This window comes from Homo sapiens, chromosome 2 (assembly GCF_000001405.40).
Source record: "Homo sapiens chromosome 2, GRCh38.p14 Primary Assembly".
NCBI lineage: Eukaryota > Metazoa > Chordata > Mammalia > Primates > Hominidae > Homo > Homo sapiens.
In genome coordinates this window covers 150,628,214-150,640,422 of record NC_000002.12, presented here as the reverse complement: position 1 = coordinate 150,640,422, position 12,209 = coordinate 150,628,214, and the positions used below count along the sequence as shown (strand labels likewise).

Genomic DNA, 12,209 nt, shown 5'->3' with positions numbered 1-12,209 from the left:
TTCATTGCAACAACCCGTTCTCAACACAGCAGGCCGAATAGGCTTTCCAGCATTTCAAGGACATGCTTTCTGTTGCACTCAAGATAAAACCCCAAATCCCTAACCTACCCTGTAAGGACCTATGTCATCTTGTCTTCCCGTTTTCCAGCCTCCTCTGATTGTATGCTACTCCTGCTTCACTAAGCTCCAGCCCTCTGGCCCCTTTCATTTATTCAAAGGCACTCAGTTCTTTCCTGCCATAAAACCTTCGTACAAGTTTTTTCACTTTTTCCAGAATGCCCTTTCCCTGACTCCAAACCCATCCCATTTCTCTTCAATTCTTGGCTAAGATGCAGTCATTCTTTCACACTTATCTAGACTTCCTCAGAGAGGCTTTCCTAACTAAATTATATTTCTGTCAGTTTCTTTTACTTTCAGTTTACTTGTCACAGTTTGTAATCATATTATTATACAATTCTTTGCTTAATGTTTGCCTTTCTATCGGAGCAAGATTTATGTAAGCAGTAACCAAATCCTTAAATCAAACAAACAAACAGTCTATGAAATCACTTTGTTAGCATGATACCTGGCAGCATAAGAAATATTTTGAATAAATGAATAAATGAAAGAATATACCAACGCCTCCCACCCTGTTGATTCTTATTTTAAAAGCCCAGTTTTTCTTAAGCTTACTTCTGAAAGCATCTCATAAAATATTCCAAAGTAAAGTGAATACAAAACCAATCAACCATAATACAAAAGTATTTTAGTTAATGAACTGAAGTGCTATTCTGGGCGAGTAGAAACATCCTTGGGTGCCACTTAACAAAAACAGGCTCTGCTGTTTTCATATTCTCTCCATCTATAAGAGAGTGGGTGTCTCAACCCTGTTAAGCTTTTGTGCTGTTAGAATCCCAGTTACCAGGGGAAGCTAGCATCACCGTTTAAACTGTTATGTCTTAACTTACATTTTGTTTCTGGCGATTTAGATTTTATACCTTTCTGTCTTTTTAAAATGAAACCACAGCTCATCTGTTCTTATACCCTCCAAATTTAAAAGTTTTTATTTCTTTGATGAAGGAGATGGTAAATTGGGAAAACATAGGAAAACCTCCTACCAAAAACATCACTCTTCTGGGAAGAGAAAGACAAACAGAAGCCTAATCCTGTGTTTATGAGTCAAATGTTGCTCGCCTGTTTTAGATGAGTTTTGCAAAAGGTTTTATTAATGTGCAAGCTTTCTTTCCAAGCTCCACAATTGCATTTGTTCTGCTCTCATTTCCAGTTCCACTAGAAACATCTGAATCTGCATTTGATGCAAGTTCCATAAGTATTTTATGCTAGGTACTAATTAAATTTCTTTGAGTTGTATGCAATAGAAACCAGAAGATGATAAAAAGGGACAAAAGAAATGAAAAAAGACTTGAACAATGAAGCACTTGAAGGGATGGAGACAAAACTACTCCAAACTCATGGATTTTTTTCTCTAGAGTTCTGTAAGGAACATGTGTCTGTTCCTTTTTTCCTGCTGTCTACTGGTTAAAATTCTCAAGGCCAGGTTCTAACTGGACCAGCTTAAAACAGGTGCCCATGTCAGGTCCAATCAGGTATTGCCAGCCAGATCTACTTCTGTGAATGGAGTAGGCAGAGAAGGGGTGTTCTGGAAGACACCTTAATGGATGTTCATGACACACAGCCTATAAATTCTACCGAAACACTTTATTGATTGATTTATTGATGATAAGAAAGCTATAAATATAGATGTATAACTCACTGAGAGACTTTGAAAGAGCCATATTCTAATAATAGGATTCTAGAATGACATATTTTAAATTTGTTCAAATACTGAGAAAGAAATAGAAAATTAAGGCACACAGATAACCTTTATGTTTGGGGTGTAGAAGATTGACCTTTAGCAATATGGCTTCCTTTGTCTCCAGTCTCCTGCTGGAAAGGGAGTTTTCTAGTACACATTGAGTCTTATTAGCTTTGACTAACTTTCTCCCTTCTCGCATACCCAAATTCACACCATCGGTTGTTTTTGTCCTCTATGATTTGGTCCGCTTTCTCTCACTATCTTTGTCACTTCATACTATGGCCCTCACCTTATCACCTCATTGTCAAAGATTGACATTGGCCAGCAGGTATCCCGGCCTAAAGTTATTTACCTCCTTTATTCCACCTTCCATGTGCTGCAAGATGAATCTTCCTAAAGCACTACTTTTATTATGATGGCAATCTCCTCAAAAACATTTAATCCATTTTGCTTTCCCACTTAATCAATTATAATCTCCTTTGCTGATCTGCCGAAGTCTTTTAATAGTTTGGCTGTTCTTATCCACATTTAGTTTCCAGTCTTCCTTAGTCTGAATCCATGGGTCTGTCAGTTTGGCCTTCTTAATGTCCTCTTCCAAACATATTCACACATCTACTCCCACTCCTGGCTCACGTTTGGTTTTGTACTGTGCTAGAATGCTGTACTTCATCCCTCCTGTTCACCTATTGAATTCAGATTATTATTCTAGACCCATCTCAAGTCTTAACCTCCCATGAGGTCTACCTTATGCTTACTGTCCCACTTATTTTAAAAATTATTTTATTTTTGAACTTGGTACGTATTATGATTTTATAAAAGATTATTCTGGGCCAGGTGTGGTGGCTCACACCTGTAGTCCCAGCACTTTCGGCCTAGGCGGGCGGATCATGAGGTCAGGAGATTGAGACCATCCTGGCCAACATGGTGAAACCCCGTCTCTACTAAAAATACAAAAATGAGCTGGGCATGGTGGTGCATGACTGTAGTCCCAGCTACTTGGGAGGCTGAGGCAGGAGAATGGCTTGAAGCCAGCAGGCAGAGGTTGCAGTGAGCCGAGATTGCACCACTGCACTCCAGCCTGGTGACAGAGCAAAACTCCGTCTCATAAGTAAATAATAAATATAAATTATCATTCTGTTCTTTAATGTCTGTAAACAGTTTGCAAATTTAGCCTACCAATATATAGAAAGTACATAATACTCTTTTATTCCTTATTATTTTAAACAAATATTTATTATATGCTTCCTACATGCCTGACATTGTTCTAGACAATGCAGATACAAAGAGCAAGACAGATAAGGACAGCTACTCCCATCGGCCTTAATTACTGCAGAAAAAGATAGACTGCAGCCTGGTCAAGGTGAAAAGTGACAGGAGATGTGGTAAGAGAGATAGGGTCAGACTGTGGAGAAATTTGAAAGCTATGGGATAGGGAAAATAGCATGATTCCTTTTCCTCCTCACCCTTCTCCTCCTCCTATGCTAAACAGTATAGGTTTCATTTTAAATGCAATGGATGATCACTGACTCCTGTGTAGAAGAAATATTATAAAAGGGCAAATGAAGAAACAGACAGGACATGCAGAAATCTGGGGAGGAGATGATGGTGCCTTGGGCTAAGGTGATAGGAAGGAAGCTGGAGGAATCATTTCGTGTGTTTACATGTGACCTCTCCTGCTCTATTAAGGGCGCGGTGGCTCACGCCTGTAATCCCAGCACTTTGGGAGGTGGAGGCAGATAGATCACGAGGTCAGGAGATCGAGACCATCCTGGCTAACACGGTGAAACCCCATCTCTACTAAAAATACAAAAAATTAGCCAAGCCTGGTGGCGGGCGCCTATAGTCTCAGCTACTCAGGAGGCTGAGGCAGGAGAATGGCGTGAACCCGGGAGGCGGAGCTTGCAGTGAGCCGAGATTGTGTCCCTGGACTCCAGCCTGGGCGACAGAGTGAGACTCCGTCTCAAAAAAAAAAAAAAAAAAAACCACAGACAGATGACATATCTTAACCTATGAAATATTCAACAGGTAAAAGCACACAGCAGATGTTCCATATATATCTGTTGGCAAAATAATTGAATTTCACTGTACCACTGCTTTATTTAAAAAATTGAGGAATAGAAGACTGATAGTATATGACTGAATTGACCAATTTGCTTTTGTTGTTAACTATTTCTCTTCGTCTCATGATGGACACCTGCACAATTATTTGTTTGGTTTACCAGGCACGATGTTCAGTCAAGATGAGCCAAACTACTAAACTGAAATTTCCTAACATTTTTCAGTTTTTGGACATGTCCCCTATGTGTCACAATATTGTAAGGATCTTTAATAAGAAAATCTCAAGGCAATATAAGATAGCTGAACATTTTTTTCTTCCCACAAGTATATTTCTTTTTAGTCCAGTATGTTTGCTTTTGCAAATGTCATGGTAATGTTTCAAATAATTATTTAATCCCCAATGTATAGTTTTGAGTAGGATGTGCCAATGATTAAGACTCTATGTATGGAAATAAAACTGTCGCTTACAAAAGCTGTTAAATCTCAAGACTGTGTTTGGATGTGTAATTCATTTTTCTTTTTATAACTATAACTTGACTGCTTGAGGACTAACTTTTCCCAAGTAACTTTTTGAAATAAATTTAAATGTTCACAAGAGAAAGGCACCATATAAGTGAGTTGACTCAAAGACATGTAATCTGCTCCTATAGGTAAATCATATAATGAATGCAAAGCCTAGGATATCAGGTTTCCAGTGCAGCTCTCTTCTGAAAAATTACCATCAAAGTAGAAAAAATAAATACAAAAGCACTTTGAAACATTTTAAAAATCATATATTTGGTACTCTTTTTATTTAATAAATCAGAACAGCTTCTTTATGCTTTATTCAGAACAATTGCAAGCCCTTGGATTCTAAAGAAAATGTTTTTTTGGAATGGTTGACTAAAAGCCAGAGTTGACTTCACCAACCTGAAAACCTTCTACTGCCCTGTTTTAATTTGTACAAGAAGCTCTGTGGGAGAAGCCTCCTTCAATATTTACTAATATCATTTGGAAAAATAAATTTCTAATGAAATGGTTCACTGATGAAAATAATGCCGAGTCCTGATATGGCCCATTGGAATCAAATCACAGTTCTATAGAATTTTAGAGGTGGACAGGGCATTAGAAACCATTTAGTTCAATTCATTTGCCTCTCACATGGTAACGAAAAGCAGGCAAATTTTTGTGACAGGGAAGAATGGACAATTGAGAGGGATCCACACACTATATCTTTATAATAATATTTTAAAAAGCATTGTTTATTGACTTACATGGATCGTTTTGTGGCAGGCAGCACTGAGATTTAACCTCTGGTCTCTAAAGCTGAGGCCAATACCCATCACCTGCATCCTGCTTGTTTGAATATCTTAATTTTACTGTATTATTGAAGCCATTCCATTAACTAAATTGTAAACAATAAAAATCTCTCTGCAAATTTTCTCTATTCCAGGAACTGTTCTAAGCACTTACAACTAGTAAATTGTTTAATTATCACTACATACCATTATCATTTCTGCTTTACAGATTAGAAAACTGAGGCTCAGAGAGTTTGATCATTCATCAAAATCCCAGAGATACTGAGTGGCAGAGTATGGATATGAATCCACACAATATGAATACTAAATACCTGCCCATTACTTTATTTATGACTGCCCAAAGTACTTCACTTAAAATTATAATAAGACTTAAACAGTCAAATTACGTTCTTAAAAATAAATAGTATATAAAATTCTGATAATGACTGCTTCTAGTTTTAAAACCCTGATAATTTAACTTTCAGCATTAGGATTTCAAATATATCATCAAAGAAAAAATCTGGGAGATACTTTGCTAATTTGGGGAACATACTGCCTGATTCAAATATTCATGTGAAAGACTGCATCTGCTTCGATCTTGTCTATATCTCCAGATATCAACACAGCACTTGGAATGTGATAGGAGTTCCACAGCATCTACGAAATGAATGAAGGGATGAATTATTGAATTGCAAATAATTTTTATGTGTAAAAATGCTAAAGAACTTTATTAGGGCAAATCTGGTGACTTGGAATGATTCATGTAGCTTTCCTCAATATTAACAAATTTCTTAAATTACCAAATTACATAATAAGTTTAAGCATTATAGGTATTATTAAATAAGTTTATAAAAAATTTTGTTGTTTTTCTTTAAGTACTATATGAATTGAATTGTGCTTTTAAAATCTGAACACCAGAAAAATGTCAAAATAATGGCAGTTTTTAAAAATCAAAATTTGGACTATCAACATAATTATTTATTCCCCTAACAAATCACTTTCCTTCCCTTATAATCAATCAGGTGTAATGATGAAAGATCGATTTAATCCGCATATTTAGGAATACTTGCCAAGCAAAATATAAACAAAATAATACTTTCTTTTCGGTGTTTGTTGAATCTCACAATGGTTAGCATAGTGGGCAAATAAATATATGCTTAATTCATTTACTGGGATTTGTTTTATGTTGGTCTTCCCAGATATTTAAAGTTTCATTACTCAACAGAAATTATCTACTCAGTAACCTTGGCAACACATATGTTTAAATACTATAGAAAGATAATTGGAAAATAGATGCATTAGAAGTAGAAATTTTATACTACAGGAAGCTCAAAATATAAGACTATTTCAAGTACATTGGTTACCATCTTAATTAGCTATTTAAAAAATAAAATGTCTCAACAGATCTGATATTTTTCTCCAGAATGAATTCTAGTCAAGTCAACTCAATTGTTGGGGAAATTTGATATTCAGCCTCCATATAGCTCAAATATTTGATTTGCCTTTGTATTCTAGGCACTATTTTACAGAGAAGACCTGTGTTATATGGCAGTGCTGGGTGATCTCCCACTAAGTAACAAGGCAGCCTGCTTCTGCTCAGCTTACCCAGCTAGAGAAGAGTAGCCCAGCTCACAGGGGTAAGGTGTGCCCTACAGCTGTGCAACATTGGAGAAGCTACTGGATATTTTGAATAGTTCAAACATATTATTTATTCCTTCAATAATATTGAGATGCTTTATCTTCAATAAGATAATAATTATTTTAGATTCTCCAGCAATTGTTAAAGCCAAATAAAAATTATTCCCTTCATTGGGTGGGTGGGGAGTAGAGGGCAAGCATTAGATGGATGACCTTTAAAGAGTCCTTTCAATCTGAAAGGATGTGATTTTAGATGTCTGTAATCCAGTTGGGGAAATAACCCTGAGGCAAAGCTAACTATGAAGGCTGAATATAATTAATTGCTGAATAAATCGCCTGAAGGAAGAGAAGCAACACGAAGTTTAACAAAACTTGCGTTCAGCAAATTTATTATAATGGGATTTAAAAAAAATCTTATTGGGTGGGAATTGTATTTATAAGTAGAGTTCTCTGTGTTTCTGACTGTTTTTATAAAGTGGTGTAATAAATTGAATGTAATCTACTTTTTTTTCTTTTCTTTTTTTTTTTTTTTGAGACGGAGTCTCGCTCGGTCGCCCAGGCTAGGGTGCGGGAGCGCAACCTCGGCTCACTGCAAGCTCCGCCTCCCGGGTTCACGCCATTCTCCTGCCTCAGCCTCCCGAGTAGCTGGGACTACAGGTGCCCGCCACCACGCCCAGCTAATTTTTTTGTATTTTTAGTACAGACGGGTTTTCACCGTGTTAGCCAGGATGGTCTCCATCTCCTGACCTTGTGATCTGCCTGCCTCGGCCTCCCAAAGTGTTGGGATTACCGGCATGAGCCACCGTGCCTGACCTACTTTTCTTAATCTGTAAGTACTGCTGATCACTAAGTAACCAGTTTGATCCCAGCATAGTTTATTGAGTTACTGAGATTGGCTGAACTAAACATTTCTTGTTTTCATTAATATCCTGGGCAATTGGATTAATTACAAGGTTATTAACTTTCAAATAATAGGGTTTTTTTAGATGTCTTTTTAATACTAATTAATCTGTCTCTATGATAGTATCTTGCTTAAGAATTATATTCAGAGAACCAGGTTTTACAAATATTGAAAGAGCAATTTTCAGTGTTATTGCTTGCTTCCTTTTATTGGTTATTAGTATTTTCTCCAATAATTTAAAACTGAAAAAAAAGGTCAGTCTTGTTTTGATATTTTATTTGCCAAGCCTTTAACGCACCTCAAGTTATATTTTGGATAACATTGCCCTACATCAAATAACAGCTCTATAATCCTTACCTTCAGCTGCATTCATCCACTTTTGCCTTTCTTTCTTCTCTCAGCCCTGCAGATTCTGGTGGTCATGCCAGGGTTAGTTGCTAGAAGTTCTTGGTTACCAAAAAGTCCAGAGAATAATTGTCAATCCACTCTAGAAAACAGCACATGGCAGATTTGGGGAAATAATTCTATTGTAAAACCTAAAGGTTGAATGCTAGTTAAAAACACAATCATGTCTTGATCTAGCTGGCTTGGACATCAAAGATGGTAGCGGGCCAATGGATGAATGTGGTAGGCCATTCTTGATAAAGCCCCTGTTTAAGAGGTCTCCTCCTGCATTGATCTCCTTGGCCTCACATCAGAAGTGTCAGCAATGCCAGCATCCAGCATCTTTCATCTGGGAGAAAAGTACTGGGACCAGAGAGAAAATTTCATTTGTTATTCAGATCCATTTATCTCCTCTACCTTCCAACACCTTTTTTTTTTCTTTATTTGTCTCCTCTGTCTCTGGGATTGATTATTCTCATGAGCTTATATTTTGCTAGAAAAAATTTCCAGTAAGTGAATACTAGAAAAATGCATTGAGCTTCTGTGAACAGGAGTTATAAGCATACACAAGTGAACTTTTAAATGAGTTAATCATGACTTCAAGATGTACTCAGATACATTGATGATAAAGTAGGACTTCGGGAGGACTATAATAGCAGCATTTTATGTGTTTTTTTTGAAATAGATACTTCACCAGGAATTAATTCAGAATTCTTGTAAATGCTCTTGGCTGAAGGTCCTATTAGCCTTCACTTGAACATTTTGGCAGGGTTTCTTCTTCCCATTTTGGAAAATCTTTTTCTGGTATCAAAGAAACATGTGTAGTATGGATTTTATTTTTTTAAAAATTGAAATTTTAAAAAATTTATTTTCTTGCTTCATGACACAGGAAATGCTTCCCATGTTTTTGGGAAAGACCTGCCAGACAGTGATTGAAAGGTCAACCTAATCTTCCTGGTAACCCTTCCAAGGGGACTTTGGTACTGTTGATAAATACATGCTCCACAGATGGCAGCATTTTATCTTCCAGAAACCTCCTCCTCTGGATAGCAATGAGTTATAACGCTACATAAATTTAAAAAAAAAAAGTGTGAACATCTTCTCTCTGATCAGCAATAGGTCATTCTGCACAGGATTTCGGAGCTCATGAAAGATGTCCACTGGTCAGTTCATCATAGTGTCTGCGTGTACTCCATTAGCTATGCTGTAAGGAATGCCACTTGCTCTTTTTGTTCTGTGAGGCAGAACAATAGGGCACTCTCCTCTGGAATAGCTGCTGATTCCTTCAAAGTTCAGTCAAAGCCCACATTTTTCCTTTCTGAATAATGTATGAGCTTGGTTCACCCATGTGCTGCTAATCTACTATGGAGGAAGCTTCCAACAGCTTTCAGCCTTTTTGTCTGATGCCACTCAGAAAAACTCACCAGTTCAAACAGGAAGACCTTGTGATCAGACTTTGGTAGAAGGTTTTTGATGAAAAGGTAGGAGTGAGAGAAACCCAGAGGAGTGTGAATTGCACACAGACAGACAGGCATGCTGACCTTTGAGACAGCATCCAATTCAATATTTCTTACCTCATGGGCTCATGTGAGATGGAAAGGTAAACACAACTTCTGATGCACAACAGTGAGCAGGCATTGTGTTGAAGAAATACCTCCTCCATGTCCTCTTGTGAAACGGAGGGCCCAGTCAGTGGCCAGCTCTCAAGCCTTCTTAGTCCATGATGGTCAATGTGCCCCATGAGGGGTCTACTTCTATTTTTCACCTGTGTATTATTCCCAGGACCGCTGTAACAAATTGCCACAAACTGGGTGGTTTAAAATAGCAGAAATGTATTCTCTCATAGTTCTAGAGGCTAGAAGTCCAAAATGAAGATGTTGGCAGAGCCATGCTGTCTCTGAAACTTCAAGGGAAGATCCCTTCTTGCCTCTTCCAACTGCTGGTGGCTCTTGGTGTTCCTTGGCTTGTGGCAACAGAACTCAATCTCTGTCTCTGTCTTTAAGTGACCTTCCTTTCTGTGTGTCTTCATCTGTCTTCCCATAAGGGCACCAGCCATTGGATTTAAGGCCCAACTGAATCCAGTATGACTATATATTAACTAATTACACTTATTTCTAAATAAGCTCACACTCTGAGGTTATGGGATGACATAAGTTTTGTGGGGATATTTTTCAACCTAGTACAACCTATAAGAATAAAGAACCATAATTTATAGACACCTGTGCTAATCTCTAGAAGTATCTGGGAAGCATGCTTAGTGCCTAACCATTTTTAAAATGTGGATAAAGATGCTTCTAAGGATCATATTCCATTCCTCAACCAGAGGGAGACAGCTTCACGTGTGCAAAACTACCGGCCTCTTAGGACCAAAGGCTTCCCTATACATATGTGACCAAACCCACATTCTTCAAGGGCCTTTCTTCATATGACTTTTCTCTGAAGGTACTTTTTCCAGAGGACGTTATTAGTCTTCCTTTAGTCCCATAAATTTGAGTAGACTTTTATAAATTTAGAACTTCTCAAGGTCCCCAAAATCCATGCTCCCAGGATTTCTAGGTAGGAAGGGCAGGAATAAAGCAGTGAAGAATCATGAAATCACAAACATTTGAAGGAAATTGAGGCACTGGGCAGCCAACCCTTTATGTAAGATAGTACCTTAAATTTCTTTGTTAGCTCCGTTAAGCAGGAATGGCCAAGTATGAAACCAGAATTTTATGTAGTAGATGATTTCTGAAGGATAGAAGAATATATTATGAGGGAGGTAGGAGGGCCCAAAACAAATCTCACCTGTTTTATCAGTTAGCCTCAAGCTATTCCTGAAGCTCACAGTGACCTCTTTCCATCATCTCAATTCTTATGCACCAAACAATCAACATAGGTGTTGTGTTTAGCCTCTGTGTTGTATTTGGCCAATATCTTCTCTCTTGAACTTGTTAAACCTTCCAAGAGTGGAGGAATGTGAGGGAGTAGAGTATAAGTGAAGACATTTTCTGTTCTCTGGGCCCAAGGAGGACAGGGGGCCTCTCATGCCCAGCACAGTGGCTAGGGAAAAGCAGGAACAGCATTCTCTAGGGCAGGTGACATGGATTTGAACATTAGAGCAAAACTCCTTTAGCTTTACCATCTCCTGCTGGTCCCTCTGTAGACCTTTTTCACCAATATGTGGTCTTTCCTATCAGTTAAAATGCTTTAGTTGTGATTAATAAAAGAACCCCCCAAAATGACCTATAAAACGAGGGGTTTATTACCTCATACAACAAGAATTGTAGAGTCTAGAAGTTTCCAAGATTAGTTAATTTAGCAGCTTAATAATATGAAGGGCCCTGGTGCTTTTGGTCTTCCTTCTCTGACTTGGCTATGTTCCTGTTGTGGTCTTGAGATGGCTGAGGCTGATGCAGACATGAAGACCAGGGCCACAATCAGGGGTGGGCCATCAGTGCTCTCCTATAGGGCCCCAGGTTCAGCAGGTCCTGCTTGGGTGCTAATGCTCTGTGGTCACTGTATTGAAATTCTTAGTAATTCTATTTAGAATGTGTGCTTTGTAAGTGAAGTATGATGGAACAAAGAAGCATGTACCAAGGGTTCAGAGCCCCAACTCATGGGCAGTCCTTCCTGACCTCCTTGCTGAGACAAGTTCTAGGCCACTTGCTCCCAGCCACTGCCCAACAGCTGCTGCCCACCTCTGCCTCCAGCAGAGGTTGGAGTATAAGTGCAGGGGATCGGGGTCAGAATAATGTGTGCTGTACATGCTGAGTTGCAGGACGAGGCTCTAGGTGTCTGTGAGGGTACCCCAAACCCAAAGCACAAATAAAAACCACCATGACAAGTCAAGAAGGAGAGATCATTGATAAAAGGAAAATGTTTGATTCTGCTTCTTGAATAAGGATCTTCACATTTTAAGTTTTCACTTGGGCCTGCAAGTTATGTGGCTAACCCTAGTTCAGAAATCCAGCATAGAAAACAGATTTTACCTTGAAAGGATTTTCTCTGTCTAGAAAAGTCTTCTTCAGATGCTTCGAGGAGATCTTAGTTCCACATAGCTCAGAGTTAGAGCACACGTCCATGCCTGAGACAATGACTGGCCAGCAATTAAGACTACTCTGATTGATACAGATCAATAGAGGTTCACTTTTGGGTCAAAGATGGTCTCCATCCC

General features: G+C 38.3%; 1 long non-coding RNA gene across 4 annotated transcripts; it reads right to left on the bottom strand.

Moving 5' to 3' along the window:
• Positions 1 to 5,065: 5,065 nt before the first annotated feature.
• LINC02612 (long intergenic non-protein coding RNA 2612) lies at positions 5,066 to 11,526 on the bottom strand. Of its 4 annotated transcripts, NR_110244.1 has the most exons (5): positions 11,302 to 11,526; positions 10,709 to 10,783; positions 8,027 to 8,156; positions 5,684 to 5,787; positions 5,066 to 5,237 (listed from the first exon to the last, which is right to left on the bottom strand). It is a non-coding gene; the product is annotated as a long intergenic non-protein coding RNA 2612 (long non-coding RNA). The 4 variants fall into 4 exon arrangements; NR_110246.1 differs by lacking the exon at positions 10,709 to 10,783 and having other exon boundaries at positions 5,066 to 5,188; NR_110247.1 differs by lacking the exon at positions 10,709 to 10,783 and having other exon boundaries at positions 5,066 to 5,185.
• Between the last annotated feature and the right edge of the window lie 683 nt (positions 11,527 to 12,209).